Below are 20440 nucleotides of genomic sequence, written 5' to 3'. Positions count from 1 at the left end.
TGTTTTGTTACTAGGACTCCTGCAATCAGCTAGGGAAGTATAGATATCAGATCAATAAGGGCCCTTAGGGAACTTTTAATTCAATGCCTGCATTTTGCTAATGAGGAAACTAAAACCCAAAGAGGTGCAGGGACTTGCCCAAGCCCACGCAAATCCACGACCGGAATCCAGGACTCAGCTCCCAATTCAGTGGCTTTTCTACATATCTCTTCTAGCCTGTAGGTCAGAAATGGACCTTGATATTCACAAGCCAACCCTCCTGCCTTTTTTGATGGACTCTAACATACTCATTATAATATAGGCACTCTGCAAAAATGGCTGGTCCGTGTTTTTCTCAAAAAATTCATGCAAAGTTGGAGGCAGAATACAATTGATCAGAAAACATCCAACATTTCAGGCATTTTTGGAGAGAAGTGCCTTATTCAAAGTCATCAGGCAAATGAGGGGCAGAGCCAGAACTGGAACCGGAGAGCTCCAGAGAGACACAGGGAAGATAATGGATTGTGACAAGCTGTCCATACAGTCCCCTGACTTCCTAAAGTCCAGATGGACACCCCACACTGTCACATTGATTGATGGAAGCACCAGTGATAAGACAGTCACAAATCCCCAACACATGGAACCAGCTGTACGTTTGTCTCCAGGAGGCTCTAGGTCAGAACATAACCTTCCCTTCTGCAAGCCTAAGTAGAATTGCCACCAGCCGAAGGGACAAAAGCAGGACCCTAATAGGCTCATTCTGTGACCACTTGGGTGTAAGCAAAGAAAATGGAGGCAGACCAAGAAGAGAGTTTAGATTTGTTTTTCACTGGGTTTTTGGCGTTCTCTTAAACAAATCTGACCCTAGATATAAGCTTGCCCTTTTCTAGTCCCAACTTCCCTGGATATAAAATACATGTTTGGCAACTGCTCTGAAAGTTATTAAAGTTGCAGCAGTAAACTATGGGAGGCCAGAGAATTTCAGACAAAAGTTATTGCATCGGTAACTCAGAAACTAATTCCTAAAACTCTTGACACATTTATCCAGAGGGCTAGTGCCAATATAGAAATGGAAATCATTGTCAAGGGCCGCTGTGTACCTGGAATTAAAATCCATCATTTCTCAGAGCAGAGAGCTATGATTTTGGCAGAATATGAATACTCCTGCCTTTCACCACTATCTTTCCTCAAAAATAGGTCCTTTATTTTTCAGAAGAACAAGACAAATTCGGCTCTTTTTGTCTTTTTGTTTATCTCCTTAAGAACCACTTGTTTACATGTTCTTCTCAAATATTGCTATCTTTGACAGTCCCTCATTTAAACCGAAAGCCCTCCTTTTCCTTCAATTGCACCAGTTTTATTGTGGATGGAAATCCTGCTGGGTACGGTAACAGAGAACAAACTTTACAGCAGCAATAATCCCTTCTACAGCATCTATTGTGGGGAAACTCAATACACTTTTATTAAATGGCTGAAGAATTAGCTTCAGTGACCTGAATTAACTACAGAGAGAAAAGATAGGGAAGAAGACTACCTCCTTCATTCAGCAGACACCCACCGCATGCCAGAGACCAGAGACATAAAGCTACCATCCAGGAGCACCGCGCTGAAAGAGATGGTGGATGGTCTTAGGCGATGCCTTCATCACCAAAAGTTAGCAAAGGCAGAAAAGATTTGGTGGGAATTAGTGTTAGCAAGCGCATGCAGAAATGGGCCCCCGATTTACTGTGGCAGGATTGACGATATGCCTAAATGTGCACACATTTTGACTCTGATTCTAAGAATTTGTCCTTAGGCCGTATTTAGATAAGTACACAGAGTTAGCTTTGGCATAATCATGATCAAGAAAAAATCAGAAGCAATGCACAGGTCATTAAAAATGCAATCATTAAAATGATACTGTAATCTATATTGTCTTGTGACATACCATCAAGTGAGAAAGTGCAACCACAGAGTATATGTACTATGGTCTCATTCATGAAAAATTAAAATGGATTAAAATGGACAGGTTGGGCTTGATGCAGTGGCTCACACCTGCAATCTCAGCACTTTGGGAGGCTGAGGCAGGTGGATGGCTTGAATCCAGGAATTGGAGACCAGCCTGGGTAAGACAGTGAGACCCTGTCTCTGCAAAAAAATGCAAAAATTATCCAGGTGTGGTGGCTCACAGCTGTAGTCCCAGCTACTCAGGAGGCTGAGGTAGGAGGATCACCTAAACCTGGGGAGGTTAAGCCTGCAATGAGCTGTGATCACACCACTGCACTCCAGTCTGGACCATACAGCAAGACCCTGTCTCAAGACAGAAAAAAAAAAAAAAAAACAACCTGACAGGTTGTTTCCTTAGGTGGTGACTATGGTTATTGCTGGACAATGGTATTCTAGGTGACTTTTACTTTCCATTATCAGCCTTTCTGAATAGTTGGATTTTCAATGCTTTTTATTTTTTACAGTGAGCATCACTTTATATTTAGGGGGTGGAAATATTTAAAAAAATTTATTTAATGGAAAGCTAGTTTTTCCCTTAATCCTTTACCACTTGTACTGCCATACCAAAGCCCAACCTACTGGTAAAAAAAAAAAAAATGTGAAATATTGTGATGATTTCATAGATGTATAAATAAGCCAAAACCCACCATCAAATCATACACTTTTTTTTTTGAGACAAGAGTCTGTATCGCCAGGCTGGAATGCAGTGGCGATCTCTGCTCACTGCAACCTCCACCTCCCTGGTTCAAGTGATTCTCCTGCCTCAGCCTCCCTAGTAGCTGGGACCTCAGGTGTGCACCACCATACCCAGCTATTTTTTGTATTTTTAGTAGAGACAGGGTTTCACCATGTTGGGCAGGATGGTTTCAATCTCTTGACCTCATGATCCGCCCACCTTGGCCTCCCAAAGTGACACTTTTTGTACATGTAATTTATTATACATCAATTATACCTCAATAAAATTGTTTTTAAGGAAAGAAAATATCAAATAATCTAGGTAATTTTTATTTTACACACAAACCACTCAAAATAAGTAAGTAAATAAATCCACACACACACACACACTCGCAGACATTTATGAATCAATGCTGGAAAGTAAATTCGATGGTCCAATCAGTGACAGGAGGCTATTTCAAGAGGTTAATAGCATGAGCAAGGTGTAAAAGTGTTCATTTAATTTATTCTCTATTCTCTGACAGTGTCAGTATCCTTGATTATAGGTGGGTGCCGAGCTCGCCATTTCACCTGCTTCCATCTTTTTCTGTTGGCACTTTTTGCAAAGTCCACGTCAGTCTTAGGTACCTTTTACCCCAAAATACATGCTTCGGTGCACTTTAATTTTCCTGCAGTAAATAAATAGTTCTTACTAGCTTCCGTCTTAAGTAACTGTAGAGCAAACCTGAGGGTTCCGAGACTTTCTATCAGATAAAATTCTGAAAACCAATCATTCTTTCTAGAGATAATTTTGAATAGAGTGATACATGTTTTGAAGACATTTCCTTGAGTCTACTTACTGGCAGGTTTTCTCAACTATATATATTCTTTCTTGTGATACTAGCTACTCAAATAGTCCAAAGAGCTGCATTTGCCTTAAACAGAATATGACAAAAGGAATGCCAGTGGTGAGACTGGGTTCGTGAATTGGATCTCTAAGTTTGTTGGACTAAAAGGAAATAAGTATTTGCATGTTGCTGTCAGAATCACTGTCCTCAGTGCCACTTCGAGTCCCATCTCTTGGTGCCCATGAAGAATGTGAGTCCTGAAGTCCCTGCAAGGACATGACCCTGTCCACATGTTAGGCCTAATTCTCATATCTGTTTCTCTATGCTTTTCTCCTCTGTTTTCCAATGCAACCAGTTGGACAGTGCTCCAGGGAAGAATCGGGCGTCCAGACAACCCATTTCGAGTGGCCCTGGAATACATCTCCAGTGGAAACCGCAGCTTGTCTGCAGTGGACTTCTTTGCCCTGAAGAACTGCAGTGAAGGTATCTGAATCTGGCTTTCCCACGCTCCTTGGTAGCCTATTGTGTTAGATGTGTCAATAACCTGCAACCATGTTTGGCTGGGAATGTGCACACTTATGAAGAAAAGTCTAGAGTGGGCTGGGTGCTGTGGCTCACACCTGTAATCCCAGCACTTTGGGAGGCCGAGACGGGTGGATCACTTGAGGTCAAGAGTTCAAGACCAGCCTGGCCAACATGGCAAAACCCTGTCTCTACTAAAATTACAAAAATTAGCCTGGTGTGGTGATGTGCGTCTGTAATCCCAACTACTTGGGAGTCTGAGGCAGGAGAATTGCTTGAACCTGGGAGACAGAGGTCACAGCGAGCCAAGATTGTGCCGTTGCACTCCAGCCTGGGCAACAGAGCGAAACCCAGTCTCAAAAAAAAAAAAAGTCTAGAGTGTTTTAGGGGCTAGTTCTGAATGATACCAGGTGATCCATATCCCAGATAATCAATTTCAAAGAGCTGGTATAAAATGATATCTACCTTGAGAACACATAGGCACATAGAAGGGAACAGCAGACATTGGGGCCTAACGGAGGGTGGAGAGGGAAGGGTGGGAGGAGGGAGAGGATCAGGGGCCCAAGAATGAAGCGTGGACCCAGAGGAAGCCTGAGGCACTCCCAGACCTAAATTCTCAATTTAGGCTATTCCTGAATAACTTTGAAGGCCCATGTCCCACAGTCATCTGTTCCATGTACAGGCCTGGATTTGAACTTTGTGCCTCTGGGAAGTGGTGTGTGAAAGGGATTCTCTTAGGGAGGAAGCCCTACTGACCCCTCACCAACCCAGCTTCTTTTGCCCCTGTGGCTCTTCATTTATTGCTGGCTTTGCAGGAAATTTTATAGTGTATTTTGTTTTCGTTGTTTAATCAAAACTGGTTTATGTGTGGGGAAAAGAAAAATCACCATAATGTGATAGATTGAACCACAGTTCAAGTTGAAAAGGTGGTTAACCTATGATATGAGGCAATGTATAAGAAACATGTGGCTTGGGAGCAAGCCAGGAGCTTGTACAAATGTTTCCGCACTCATGAACTTGAAGATTTGTGAATGTCTCTGGACATCATCAGTCCTCACAGATGTCAAGGATCTATGTACCATACAAAAGAGGCCATCTGTTGAAATGGAACCAGTTAACAAGAATGTGGCAGGGAGAAAGTATCAATTCCCAGAATGTTCTCATTTGATCATCATTAGGAAAAAGGAATAAGAAACTGCAAAAGTCCAGATATCAGGCCCACAACAAATACTCCTGCAAAAATTTCTTGACCTGAAAAAAATTCTTTGCATGTTAAAATCAAGGATCTCAAGCTATAGATGTTTTCTCCCTTGCCCTGCAACTCCCTCTCACCTAAAAACATTCATCCCCCATAGCCTGTGTTGCATTCGCAGTGAGTCTGTTCCAGAGACCCGTTCCTGTCTGCTTTTCTATCTTTACAAAACCAATAGAGTTGACCTCCCTAAAATCTCTCTAATTTTTTCTAATCTTTCTAATCTCAGAAAGTCTCCGCTGGCAGGGCACCCTCTTAGAGGAGGGAGAAGATGAGTCTTCCTCTGATTCCCTAGAGAAAGTGGCTTGGCCCAGATACCTGGGGAAGTTCTCATGGTCCAGCTTCCTTCTTTCAGTGGCTCTAGCTCCAAGAACAGATGGTCTCCATGAGGAGGCAAATGTTCTCTGTGATTCTTCTCTGGGTCAGACCGCCTGTGGTCAACAAGGGATGGGGAGGGATTGATTGATACGGATGTGTAAGGCAGAGAATAGTGAAGAACAAGGTGATCTCAGTGTTTGCTTAGAACTTCTAAATTTCCTTCCCATAGAAGACAAATTCAGGTGCGCATCAGTAGGCATAGACAAATTGCAGACATAAGAATCATCCTAAAATTACACTCATATTTAAAGGGAAGGGGTTACTTTAAAGGCATACTCAATGTCTATTCGATGTAGGCAAATGTCTATGTTTTCTGGGGTCATTGCTTTGGTTAAGCCAGAAGAAGAGGGGATAAAAGGAGAAAAATGGTGTCTTTGAAGGAGGTGAATAGGGCTGGCAACATTACTGGCCAGGACTGTAGGAAGGTCTGCAGGATGCCTGGTCTATATTTCTGATAAGAACTTGGTCCCTTCATGATGAGGCACAGATGGAGCACAAGGGGAAACACAACTGTAGAACTCCACAGCTCTTCCTTGGCCCACAGCAGAGACGTGCCATTTTAGTTCATCTGGAGAAGGCTCAAGGAGACATGGGACAATTCTCCCCGCATTGGAGACAATATCTATCTGTGGGTGTCATCAAGACAGAGGCCATGCCTGTATCCTCTCTACATCCTTACACTTATCACAGTGTGTGACACTAGGTAGGTGCTCAGTTCATCTCAGTTGATATGGACTAATAGCAAAAAGCTAACATTGACAGAGCACTCGCCATGCGCAAAGCCAAGTGTCAATGCCTTTATGTGTTACATCATGCAAGCTTTACGATAATGCTGTAAAGCAGGGACTAATATCCTCATTTTACAGATGGGGAAACTGAAGCTCACAGAAGTTTCAAAACTTGCCAGGGTCATTCAGTTAGTGAAAAGTAGAGTCAAACTCGATCCCAAGTTGATCTGATGACAAAGCCAGTGTTTCTGTCCACTAGCCTCTGCTGCCTTTGTGGAAGAGGCTGAGGTTTCATTTATTTCCTGAAAACCTTAGCATCATCTTTGACTCTTCCTGTTCCTTTTACCACTACACCCAAATTGCCAGAACCTTTACCTCTAGACTTGCTTTTGCCTGTATTCTATCTGTCTCTGTCTAGATACTTGATATGGTTTGGATTTGTGTCTTCCCCTTCCCACCAAATTTCATGTTGAATTATAATCCTCAGTGTTGGAGGAGGGGGCTGGTGGGTAATTGGATCATGGAGGAGGATCTCCCTCTTGCTATTCTCGTGATAGTGAGTGAGTTCTCATAAGATCTGGATGTTTAAAAGTGTGCAGTGGGCCAGGCACGGTGGCTAATGCCTATAATCCCAACACTTTGTGAGGCTGAGGTGGGCGGATTACCTGAGGTCGGGAGTTCGAGACCAGCCTGACCAACATGGAGAAACCCCGTCTCTACTAAAAAAACAAAAAACAAACAAACAAAAATTAGCCAGGCGTGGTGGCACATGCCTGTAATCCCAACTACTCAGGAGGCTGAGGCAGGAGAATCGCTTGAACCTGGGAGGCGGAGGTTGCGGTGAGCCAAGATGGCACCATTGCACTCCAGCCTGGGCAACAAGAGTGAAACTCCGTCTCAAAAGACAAAAACAAAAACAAAAGTGTGCAGCAGCCAGGCAAGGTGGCTCATGCCTGTAATCCCAGCACTTTGGGAGGCTGAGGCAGGTGGATCACGAGGTCAAGAGATCAAGACCATCCTGGCCAACATGGTGAAACCCCGTCTCTACTAAAAATACAAAAATTAGCTGGGCATGGTTGTGGGCGGCTGTAGTCCCAGCTCCCCGGGAGGCTGAGGCAGGAGAATCACTTGAACCCAGGAGGCAGAGGTTACAGTAAGCTGAGATCGTGCCAGTGCACTCCAGCCTGGTGACAGAGTGAGACTCTGTCTTAAAAAAAAAAAAAAAAAAAGTGTGCAGCACCTTCCTCATTGCTCTTTTCCTCCTGCTTTAGCCGTGTAGGATGTGCCTGCTTCCCTTTTGCCTTCTACCATGATTGCAAGTTTCCTAAGGCCTCCCCAGCCATGCTTCCTGTACAGCCTGTGGAACCATGAGCCAATTAATCCTCTTTTCTTTATAAATTACCCAGTCTCAGGTATTTCTTTACAGCAGTGTGAGAATGGACTAACACAATACTACTGTTGCTGTCTCTTGGATATACCCTTCTGACTTCATATTCCCAGCTGTGTGTCTTATTCTTTCTATATTCTTCATATACGCAGACTTGAATTTTGGCAGCAGCCAACTGGTCTCCCTGATACCATTCCATCTTCCACACGTTGCCAGATAAATCTCCTCAATATTACTCCTTCTTTTGTGGCGCTTTCATGTGACATAGGTCATTTCTTATTGCCTCCCACATCAGAAAATAATAGAAAAAGGGGCCTATACTGGACCACCTTACTCATTTCCTGGGGCCAGGAAATGTCATTTGCAGCCACAGAAATTCTCCTTGGAAGACTTTATACTCTACATCTAAATTTAGTAGGTGTTTTATAATTGTTTCCAATTTAATCATTTTGGGATCCTAACTTGAAGTTCAAGACCTTGTCTTACATTTCTTTTATTTCTCCAGGGAGCAGCTAGCATGGTGCTAAACACACAGAAAACACCACACGAATACATGTTGACTGATTGGTTAATCAATCAATTGATAAATGCTGCACCTTCTTTTATAGCTTTGGGCTATTACCCTACTACTTCCAAAAGAAAGTAGCTGTAAGTAGAAATGGCTTGGAAGAGATTTTTCACTGAAAGGCCAGTGAAAGAGCAGCTTACACAATCAGCACAGGCAAGAGAGACATCAGCCCCCAGAGACACCCATGCCTGGGCTCCCAGGGAACCCTTAGCCCATTCACAAAAACCTTTCTTGAGCAGACAACCCAGAGCAATAGGATCACGCAGGACACTCACCGGGACCCCTCAGGTTCAGAGGTGCCTACAGCAACACATACGTCAGAATGGGAAAGACTAGCTTCTTGAAAGGGATTTGAAAAGGACCAGTGTGCCAGGCGTGGTGGCTCATGCCTGTAATTCCAGCACTTTGGGAGGCCAAGGTGGGTGGATCACCTGAGGTCAGGAGTTCGAGACCAGCCTGGCCAACGTCGCGAAACCCCATCTTTACTGAAAATACAAAAAAAGTAGCCAGGCATGGTGGCATGCACCTGTGGTCTCAGCTACTCGGGAGGCTGAGGCAGAAGCTTGAACCCGGGAGGCAGAGGTTGCAGTGAGCTGAGATGGCACCACTGCACTCCAGCCTGGGTGACAGAGCAAGACTCTGTCAAAAAGAAAGAGAGGGAGGGAGGGGAGGGGAGGGGAGGATCAGCATGGCCCTGAACAGCTCCTAAAAATGCACAGCATTGCAAACCCTCATCTAGCTCTTCCATGCACTAGGCCCTGTTCTAAGCATGGTACATATATTAACTCATTCAATCCTTACAACAATGCTATGAAGTATGTAATATTATTCTTATCATTATTATTCCCATTATTATGGATAGAGAAATCAAGGCACGGAGACCTAAGTAATTTCCTCAAAGTCACACAGCTGGTATTGAAATGGAGGCCATCTGGCTCCAAAATCCATGTTCTTAGCTACCACACCTTGCAGTTTGCACAGAAGATCTCTGCTGGAAGGGACACCAGAAATATCTAATCTGTCTCCCTTGCCATGTAGAAATTGAATGAACAAAGACCCAATGATTTTCCTTGAAATGTGATACACTAAATTACTGACCAGCCCAAGGTGCTTTCTGCCTCCACCTTATGGTTGTCAAGTTCTCAATTTTTCTAAGAAATCAATTCAGTATTTCCCTTTCCCAGCTCAGATTGTTCAGAGGCAGTTGAAATGGACCACTGCCACTAGTCAATATGAAGACAAAGAGCTGCAAAGGAGCTCCCCCATGAAAAACAAGGAAATGTAGATAGCTCCTGTGTGAGCCTACATACATTTTATAGCAGGCCACTATATCTCCTCTTCTCTTTCAGGAACCTACAAAAACACATCTGAGGTTTCCCAGGCCACAGCCACATTCAGCTCACTAACAGATTTCTCAAAAGAAGTAATCTTCTTGGTTCCTTACTCTACTGAGATAATTTCATACACATTGCTTCTGATTCATTCATTAGAGAGGATGTCATAACCTTCACCTTACCCGTGAGAAGTTATTTCTCTAACTTCTCTGGCTCAGGAAGGTGAAGGTATCCAAAGTCAAATGCAGTCCCATTATTATGGATACCTTGAAACACATGTCCCCAAAGAGTCTGAGATGCACAAATACCATTTTTTAACTTCTCCGGGGCTAAAATGAGGGTGTTTGAACTCTCTTCAAACCTTTTCTAGAGCCTGAAGCCTTAATTAAAACAAAGTCTTATATGGAAGCCCAGTATATAAAATGATACAAGTACAGCTGTCTTTGGGGGCGCCTAGAACCCACCTGTTCCAGAGCCCTTGACATTCCCCCTCAATGGGGCTTCATGAAATACATTTTAAGAACCATTGGACAGTCTGATTCTAAGCTCTCTCTTTTTTTTTTTTTTTTTTGAGATGTAGTCTCACTCTGTTGCCCAGGCTGGAGTACAGTGGCGCCATCTCAGCTCACTGCAACCTCCACCTCCTGGGTTCAAGGAATTCTCCTGCCTCAGGCTCCTGAGTAGCTGGGATTACAGGCGCAAGCCACCACGCCTGGCTAATTTTTGTATTTTCAGTAGAGACGGGGTTTCACCATGTTGGTCAGGCTGGTCTCGAACTCCTGACCTCGTGATCCGCCCACCCTGGCTTCCCAAGTGCTGGGATTACAGGTGTGAGCCACCACGCCCGGCCTCAGCTCTCCTATTAACTCCAGTTTTTATGGTCTGGTCCTAGATGTTACACTTATTTAAAATATGAAAACCAAAAATAGGTATATTAACTGTATCTTATTTAAAAAATTAGGGCTTAGCACAAGGCTATTAGACTTTGAATATGGGCCATTTTCACAAGGCAAGTTCTTGTCCAGGTGGGTTCTGGCTTTGAGGTGCTGGATATGTAGCTAGTATAAATATTTCCAGGAAAAAATGGGTAGCATCCTGTAACCTTGTCCCCCTCTCTCTCCTTCTTCTCCACCAAAGACAATGTTGGGCAATGGAAGATGTCTTTCTTAGCCTGAAAGGGGACAAGAGGAAACGAAAGAAGCTGAACAAATAGATTCAAATCTTTGGCCAGCCATGTGGAACCAATCAACATCTAGAGTAGGCTCCAAAATCCAGCTGGGTAAATGAGGGATTACTTCATGGGCTCCTAGCAGCCTGGCCCAAACTGGGCATTTTCTCTTCCAACAGCAAGCAACGCCTCAGCAGGATCCTCAGTCTGTGCTTGTAAAATGTAGATCACAGTGGCACTCTGTCTTGGGGCTGCCAGCAGCAAACTCTGTATGTAGCAGGCTCAGCTATCCATCCATCCATGCATCCACTCATCTATGCCACAGACAGTTTCTGAGCAAGTACTAAACTGGGTACATGCTAACATTAATATAAAATAGTTGTTTCTGTCTTAGGACTGAATTTTGGTGTGGTTCCTTTAACATTTCCATTCTACTTCACATAGAACTCTTTCTTAAAGGGCATCTTTGAGTTATATTTAATTTGCACCCTAACCCTAACCCTAAGGGTTGTAAGGGTTTGTGCAAAGTAAGTGCAAATCTTACGAAGAGTTTGTAAGAGTTAAAGAAAGAGGAAAGAAACACAAAATGCGGCTCAATGGTTAAAAACAGATTTATTTTAGAGAAAATAAACCTGAGAGGGGCTTCTGGCCAATTTTGGTCAGGAGAGCTTTCTCTTACAGACTAAGAGTATATATTGGTTTTACAGTGAGCAGGCTTATCACAAGCTTGGAATGTTTCTGTGTGGGGGAGAAGTTTATGGGGGGTTGGAATTTCTCTGGACGGAGGAGAGGTTATCTTGGGGCTGACATCTTTCCGGCCAGAGGGAGACTATCTCGGGGCTAGCATGTCTCTGGTTGGGGAGGAGTTTGGAATGTTTCTGGTCAGAGATGTTATTTGTGGTTTATGGTCATGCTGACCTTGGCCATTAGGCTGATGTCCTTTGGATTTAGGTGGTTTTTGATTAAGATGAACTTTAGGATGAGGTGCTTGTCCAAGATGGCAGTGCTCCTCCTCTGTCAGTACTGAATAGGTGTTCCATTCCTGGAAATGTCTTCCTCCAAAGCAGTTCCAACATTCCTTTCTCAGAAAGACCACAGAATGAGCACTGAACCAGAATCAGAAAACCTGGATTTAAGTCTCCTTCCTACCTCTTACTTGCCATAGACTAGCCATCACACTTCAAATCATTAAAGATTTCCCTCATAACTGGAACATAGATTGGGTTTTTGTGGGGTTTTTTTGTCATTTAAAATAGAGATAGGCCAGGCGCAGTGGCTCACACCTGTAATCCCAGCACTTTGGGAGGCCGAGGCGGGCAGATCACGAGGTCAGGAGATCAAGACCATCCTGGCCAACATGGTGAAACCCTGTCTCTACTGAAATACAAAGAATTAGCTAAGCATGGTGGTGGGCGCCTGTAGTCCCAGCTACTTGGGGGGCTGAGGCAGGAGAATGGCATGAACCTGGGAGGCAGAGCTTGCAGTGAGCCGAGGTGGTGCCACTGCACTCCAGCCTGGGAGACAGCGAGACTCCGTCTCAAAAAAATAAATAAATAAAAATAAAAATAAAATAAAATAGGGATAACAACATGTCAGTAGTTGTCTCAAAATTGACCTCATGCTGAGGGTCAGTGAGAAGGTGGCTGTGGAGGTGCCTTGTAAATGATGCCATGAGCTACTTAACCTCTCTGGGCCTCACCTCGCCTGAAGCTTTTGAGAACTAACCTGCTTCCTTGCTGCTGCTGTTTCTCATGAAGAAATTACCATTCACAGAAACAAACTGGCTCCTCTGAGGCCTCCTGCAGAGCTTTGTGATGTTAATTATTGACCTAATGCCAAGAGGGTGATGAGAGCCACACACTGCCAACCTGGGGAGGTGCCACCACCTGGAGCAGTCACTTCAGGGCACTCAATCAGCCGTGCAATGGTGAGCTCTATTGCTTGGAAGTGATCACCAAGGAGAAATCGCAGTCACGACCTTAGTATCCTCACTTAGTTCTAGTGCCTATCTCCAGGTGGATGTTCAACTCCATTTTAAAAACGCTCTCCTTCTAAACTCCCTATTTCCAAAATCTCCTGCCCTTAACTTACCGTGGACTGAACCATTTAAAAGATAAGCATGAAAATTATGATTTCATCAGCCACTGAGATCTGCTTGCATTTCTCAAATGTCCCTCCCCAGCTCAAGCTTTGGTTCCATCTGCGCCCCCTGCAGCGCACCCTCCACCTTTCAAAGACCTGCACATCTTTCAAATCCCAGCTTAAATAGTATTTTCTCTAAGTCTCCACTCAGAATTGTTTCCATGTATATCTATTTTAGAACCGTCTACTTCTCTCCAGTTATTTATGTGTCTCACTCAATAGATGCTAAGTTCCTAAAATCAAAGACTGTCTTTTTTTAAAATCTCTGTATCTCAATTAGCAGTGAAGTGCTTTTTTTTTTTTCATGGCAAGCACTCAATAAAGGTTTGCTTATTCCAATGTAGGAGAGAGATTAGAGGCTTTAGAATCAGACTGAATGTATTTGGATGCCAGCTCCATCGCTCACCACCTTTTTGAGCTTGGAAAAGTTTCCTAAATCTATGAGTTTTCATTTTCTCATCAGGAAATACATAATTATAGGTTTTTTGGGAAATTAAAACAGATGTTGCGTGCAGAGCTCCTAGCACAATGCTTGGCACAATACGTATTCTCATCCTCTCTCTGGCATCCCTTGACTAAGCTGAATCTCCTAATTCTGGAACCAGAGCTGAATAATTCTGCACAACTATCCTGGGGTATGTTTACAGGTTCACATCTGCCTTTTGCCTTTCCATCTGCGCCTTGCCTGAGCCATTATGCAAAGGGAAAATTTACCTCTTTTCCAGCAGAGATTCTGACAGCCCAGACTTGCTTTCTGATTGCAAAGGCAGCTGCTTCTCTTGCCTCCTAAGACCTATGCTCTTATGCCTGATAAAGTCATTTTTTTACCTTGGTCACTGGGTGCACAGAGTCCTTTGTGCCACACAAAGGAGTAATCCTGCTTAATTCTGTAGAGGTAGTTGGAGGCAGGAGAGAGGTCTTTTCAAATGCCTGTCACACTGCCTCCCTTGAGGAAGACTGGAATCCAAAACAGTCAGGCCAAAGCAGGTGGAACCAGGAAGGAAATTCGCTGGTCTTTCCTTTCTCTACCAGTGCCTAGCTACTGTTGGCAAAGAAGTTCTTACTTTGGAATGGCTTATCCATAATTATTAATAAAGCCAATTTTAAAATGCCCCATGAAGTGCTTAGAAACAATGCCTGCTTGGGCAACTATTTTAAATATTCGATCATTGGAACTTGCCCAGAAATGGGGGCAGACACAAAGGTTTTTAAATATAAATAAATAAAGAATGAGTGTGCCGAGGTCATTGTACTCCCAGAAGAAAATTACTTTCAAATTACAACTACATAAAGGAAATAATTGAAAAGATTAATCACACTAAAATAATTGGTCTATTTTACAAGTAATTTGGAGCAATACTCAGTCATTGACATCAATGTCTGGTAGTAAAATAGTAATGAATTTCATTCTCTAACTAATGTATTTATTTTATTAATGGTAATAAATGGTGTTGTTACCGCTTATAAATATTTCATAACTTTTAATTCATTAAAATGTTCAATGAATTTCCAAAAGTATTTATTAGTTTTACATCATCCTTAGTATTCAATGTGCAATTGCCACTCTGCCTGGGTAATTAAAAATATTATTGTTTTGGGTAATGGGACTCCCTTTGAATGTGAAGGATTAGGCTCCAGTTATTAATGAGACGGATGCTCCAGCTGGTGATGGGGAAGGGGCTTGGGAAGATGTTTTCTCTTTAGGTCGCTAAGAGCTCTCTGGAATCGTTCCTTAAAAAAAATGTGGCTGTGAAGCAAACAGGGTGGACCCAGATAAATTAATTCCAGATGTGATCAGAGAAATGTCACTTTAGACATTGGTTCCAGTTCACCACCTGTCCCACACCATCTCCGTCTTCCTGAAACAACTGACAGCAGGATTCAAACTTTCCAACCTCACCTCTATCTCTGTTTTATTCTCCAACATTAGAGGTCATAAGGAGTGAAATGGCCAAAAAGATGCAACAGAAAGAAAAGCAAGGGATACAGCATCATGGACAGTGGAAAGAAGATATAGGACTTGGAGAAGAAAAACGTGGACTTGAATCCTGAGTCATTTGGGTGCTACATGTCCATTACATCCTGTGGTACCAGATAATTCACGTGCGAAATGAAGACAGTGACACCTATCCCTGGGTCCATGTGAGGATTAAATGGGATACTGTGTGCCTCACCTGACACAGTGCCTGGAACCTAGTGGAAAATCAAACTGGGTTAGCTCTACCATTCCCTGTGTCCAAATTGCAGATCATGGTATTGTTGGCCCAGTGGCCTTGGCGGCTCTTCATTAACTAACAATTGATACAAACAATTGGTATGAGTCATCAAGAAAAACTGGACCAACAGTGAACTAGTACAACTCAGGATCGGTGAAGTGAAATGGCATCCCCTGGAAGAAGGACTAGATGACTCAGCTCTCAGCACCTTACCCTGTAGGTCTGAGATTCAGCTCACTGTAGTACTTCCAGAGCCTCTCCATACAGGAGGCTAAAGGCATTTGGCTATGGACAGGTTGAGAGGTACCAACAGGTGGGTTGGGGTAAAGTGGGGCCAGCACTCACACTTAGATGTTTGCACCTGCAGGATGTGTAGCAATGCTCCCAAAGCATGCAAACCCAAAGAATCAGTGTGGCTCATCTTTCAAGAGCTTCAGTTTTACCAAAAGATTGGAGTGGAGGAATATTTTTTAATTTAAACTAGCATGGCTATGTATTGAGTTCCAATGCAAACTGCACGCAAATGTTAAGATAAAGCATCGAAGACCTTCCCTGCTCATAGTGATTACCCACACTCTGAGTGGTGGCTTTACTCTTCTTTGCCATTTGGGACACATCAGAGGGGACAATAGTAAGGCATCACTCCAGGGTGGACAGAGGAACATGAGGAGGAGGTGCAGCCAGGCCTGGGATCACCAGCTGGAGAGGAGAGCCAGGGAGTAGTGTGTCTTCTCAGTGCAAGCCATTGGCAGGTGCAACAGTGGGCAGGATCCTGAGGTGACACCAGAGACTAGCAGGGGGTCCAATCTCCCAAATCAGGCAGAGAAGTGCTCAGTTTCTAAACTGACGTACCAAGTCAGAACCAAACCCACCAAACATTAGATATAAAAGTCTCCTGTGATTGGCCTAAAGTATCATAAATGTCCCCAAGGACAGAATTGATCTGTTGATTTGTTTTGTTTGTTTGGTGGGGTAGGGTGGGGAAGGGTGAGGTGGGGAGAGGTAAGCAAGGACTGAACCTTTAGCTGAAGATCCTGGAGACATTTTACTTCCTCCCTACCCAGACCCCTGGACAGAGCTCCTCACACCAGGATCTGTGGGAAGCTCACGCTGAAGTCTTCCAGAGTGAAGGGCTTTGTGCAGGGAGTGAGGGAGCCTTTTGCTAGCCGAGGGGCATAGCCTAGGAGTACCAGAAAGTGTACTGCTGGGATTTGATGATGGTTCTCTTTTTATTCTGGTTATTTTAAAGTTCTGGCATTTTCTGTCTTCAAGTTATGCTGAGAGCACGGTTTTTGTGGAACTTTATTTTGCCCTTCTGGTTGAGATTTGTTTGGGGAGGAAACATTGGCAGACAGTTGCTGGGCAGCGGCCCAGAAGGCCCCTCAATGCACAATTTGCAAACCATAGAGCAAATGGTCTCGGAGATCCCTCCTTCCCTCAGCTCCAACATTATGGAGTTCTATGATCAGCATTTGGGTGGATATAAAGTCTTTCAGCTTTTGCTGCTTCTGCTTCTTCCTTTAGCTCTTAGCCAGCATTTCGTATCTACAAAACGATTAACAAACATTAACTAATTCCCCCCATTAATCATTTATATCACTGGTAGCTCAGAGTCTTATCATTTCCTTCAAGAACATTTCCTTCAAGACAGGTGCAATATCCTGTCTGGATCCCAAGTCTCACGTCTAGGGGATGATGGGCCAACATGGCAGCCCTGGATCCTCCTGAGCTCACAGGGGAAGTGGGCCAGAAGGTGGGCACGGGCTCTGTGAGGCTACAACCCCACTAGGATGCCTTTCTGCTCTAATTAACAGGAAGGGCCAGCCACATGGCCAGCCAATGGTAGCTAAGAGGCAATAAGCTTTAATTAGAAGCTTCTTCCTGGAAACTCACATGGTCATAATAAGTCTGTGGTCTTAAAAGGCCCAGAGAGGTTGAATGCCTCAACTCTCTTTTGCTTTTATGAGCTGATCCTTTCAATCGTTTGTGAAATTTAAATATAATGGAAACATTGGCTCTGGACAAGGGCCCTGATTATCTCCTCCTTGCTACAGGGACGGGCAGCCCAAGTGTAAGGTCAGGAAGGCAGCCTGTTTTCTTCCCATCCTAGGCTGTCTGTAAGATTTATGATTCAGAAACACACCACACGTGTGTGAATAAGCTGCCATGGCTGGGACCAACCACAGAACTCTCCCTTAGAGGGGGCCAGTTTGTCTCGGGGAGGACTAGACAGGGAACAAGCCCTCTGCACACCACTACCCAGAGATCCAGGAGAACAAGTGAATAGCTCAAAGCCTCTGTCCTGAGGACTTGGGCTTATGAGTGTATGAAGGTGGGGTGCAAAATTTCTTGAACTACATGATTTGAATTAGAAGAGAAAGCAGAAAGTGACAGGAAGAAGTGGTCTCTGTTTTCCTCCTTGTCTTACCATCACAGGATCGATGTCTTTCTTTCTTGTTAGTGCACGGACACAAACTCATGCTCGCTCCCTGCACACTCTCTCTCCCCAAGAGATCCACTGTGCACGTGTGTCAACTAATGCACGAGGGCTGTCTTCTTGTCCATCCCCTGCCATTCTTCCACTGATGTGGCCTTTTTCTCCATTCTATTCTTCCTGTTCCTTATCTGTGGCTGTATGTAATGCAAAAGCAGGTGCTCGACTCAGAACCATATCATTTATTTATTCCGTGTGATCATAAATAAATAAATGCAGACAGATCATTTTCCATCTCAACTGTTTGGCAGCTCATGGACAGCCTTCCCCTGCATCTCCCCAGCCTCAGCCTCTTCTGTGTGCCTCTCCACACTCCGGATATCTTTGTCTTTTTGCTTGTCTATTAATTCATTCTCACTTCTCGACTTTCTTCCTTTCCTTTTGTGAAGGGAAGAAACCTGGGCCGTGGAATTGCCTGTCTGATCCATGTGTCCAGCTCCGTCATCAGTGAAGCCTGCTGTGCTCTTGCTCCAGGCACAGGCCTGAGGCTGTATATCCATGGACAAGGTGGCTGAAATGGTTGGATCGGCTACACTGGAGCCCAGCTCCAGGGCATACACAGATGGAATATTCTTCTCTTTTCATCCTTACTCTAAGCAAAGATCCTCTGATGATCTCTCTTCCCTTTCCCCTTCTGCTATTTCTCCTCCTTTTCCTTCAAGTGCCTGTCATTTTCTCATTAGGAGACCAACACACACACACACACACACACACACAAATATGCACGTGTGCACACACACACAACCAGCAAGGAGGCATTTGAATGTGGTGATCCTAAAGAGGACCTCAGGGGCAAGGCTGAGGTCTTTAATTAGAGATTGAGGTCTTATCCAAGGCTGAGGTCTTCCCTAGTGCCAGTCACATGGCAAAAGCAAGGCTCTAGGTAGATAAGAAGGTCCAGCATTTTCCTGTGAGTGTCAAGAAGTTACATTGGAGCTAAGATTGCAGTCTCTGCATGGGAAGACACTGGAAAGCAGGGTCTTGAGAAGAGTCTTTTCTCTTCTGGGGTCAGCAAAGCACAGAGCCTTAAATTCATGGCGAGTGCTGGCGGTTTTTTGATGTATGTTTGTTTATTTGTTTTGCCCTTGTCTTTTCCTAGTCTTCAGTAAAATCATATTGAACGTTCCAGCTTATCTTGGTTGTACTCCCAGAGTTTTGACTAGGCTTTTGCCAGGGTTTTAAAGGGTTTAAATATCACCCCTGAGAACAGATGGATGATGGCAGTAGTGATCCATGGGATACTCCAAACAAATGCCAAGTCTCAGAAAAAGGAGGAGGAAGACAGGGAAGAAAAGAGAGAGAAAGGGAGAAAAAGGCTATGAGGTCTTACCACTTCCCACTCTATGAAGTTCTCCTTTTGTGCCCAACCTGGAAGTTCTGAGCTTGTATTAAGGAAAGTGAAATTTCCCTACCTGGTATATTCCCTATCAGACATATAAACTGGTCTGTCCATTTCCCCACCACCTGGTAATTTGATTTTGCAACAAGAAGCCCTACTTCTAGAACCAAGGCAGGAGACTTTACTAGAGAATTCAAATTCTTTGGATTTTTGAAAATTTTATTTGCATACTCATGTTATTATATTACCTGTTGCAACATCACCAGAAATTCCGCTGACGTATGAGGGGCCACTGTCTCTCATCACTGAGTGTTGCTTTTCAGAGATGAAAAAAATTGGAAAGGAAGTCACACAGCCACCATTTGACAAGTTATTTTGTGGGGTGTAGAATTCCTCCCACTGTACCACCATCCCAGCCCTTGGTTCTGGCACACAGGCAATCTCATTCCATATGATATGAGGAGCAGCCCAGTGTTCTGTCTGCAAAGCTCTGGCAAGCTCAAGCAAGGCTTCCCATTACCCAGGTGGGTCATCCATGTGCCACAGCCTATTTGACTTTAGCGTCTGTTATTTTTCCCTCCTGCTAAACACTAAGCCATCCCCTTTATCTCCACATCCCTGGTGTTTGGCTCAAAGCCTGGGACAAAATGGAGGCTCCATGAATTTTTGTAAAATGTTGAAAGAGTGAATGAAAAAGTGAGTCAAAATGGTGCGGCACGGGAAACTATAAACACAAAGCTGAGTAGGAAATTGAGATCAGTAGCTAGAAAATGTAAATAAGGCAAATATATTAATATTTCAGATGATTTCAGAGATTCATTTAATCACTTTACATAGGCATTCAACTTTGTAATTATAGGCAAAGACAAATAAGCCAAGTAGCATAAGCTTAGATTCTAGATTCTCCCCTGCCAATATAATAACAGCAATGACAATAATAACAATAATAATAAATTGCAAGAATGGGCCCTTCAATACACAACATCTAGAAACTCCTTCCCTAGGTCCCGAGCACTGCCAGCACTACTCAGGGAGCTGATCAATTATGTACGCACCCCAGCATGAGTTGCTTAAGGTGTAACCTTGCCACTGCTCTGAGGATCTTACAATGGAACAGAAGAATTTGCTATATCCTGTCACCTCTCTTGCCCCCTGGGGTTTCAGTTGACTATACAATTTTGTACTGTTGAAACTCACAAGAGTCATATAATTTAACATCTGGAAAGGATCTAAAGGATTTCTTTGTCTTCCTTCCTCCCTCATTTTACAGATTAGCAGATTGAATCCCAAAGACATTATGGTTCTACAGCTACCAAGTGGCCAAGTCATGAGTTTTTAACCTCCTATTCTGTTGTTTCTTTGACTGCTCCCTGCCCTTCTTAATCTTGAAAATATTAGAAAATGACTTTAAAGTCTCTGTGTTTATGTTTCTCAATACACTGGAA

At 43.7% G+C, this 20440-nt stretch overlaps 1 protein-coding gene across 2 annotated transcripts in view, besides 1 other annotated feature; it reads left to right on the top strand.

The window, feature by feature from the left end:
* ALK (ALK receptor tyrosine kinase) overlaps window positions 1-20440 on the top strand; it is a 728813-nt gene that overhangs the window by 533905 nt on the left and 174468 nt on the right. For both annotated transcript variants that reach the window (XR_001738688.3, NM_004304.5), the window contains exon 5: window positions 3823-3950. Coding sequence is in view for 1 of the 2 variants with exons in the window: in NM_004304.5 (NP_004295.2) it covers window positions 3823-3950 (128 nt within the window). In the remaining variant the exon portion in view is untranslated. The remainder of the gene's footprint in view (window positions 1-3822; window positions 3951-20440) is intronic.
* Window positions 12565-12859: a silencer, noted in NCBI's record as "tiled region #127; HepG2 Repressive non-DNase unmatched - State 22:ReprW". NCBI's record gives its function as "represses a minimal TATA promoter and a strong SV40 promoter by Sharpr-MPRA in HepG2 cells {active_cell/tissue: HepG2}" and the evidence as "EXISTENCE:reporter gene assay evidence [ECO:0000049][PMID:27701403]".

The sequence above is a fragment of the Homo sapiens genome, chromosome 2 (genome assembly GCF_000001405.40).
Source record: "Homo sapiens chromosome 2, GRCh38.p14 Primary Assembly".
Taxonomy (NCBI): Eukaryota; Metazoa; Chordata; class Mammalia; order Primates; family Hominidae; genus Homo; species Homo sapiens.
This window is presented reverse-complemented; position numbering and strand designations above follow the sequence as displayed.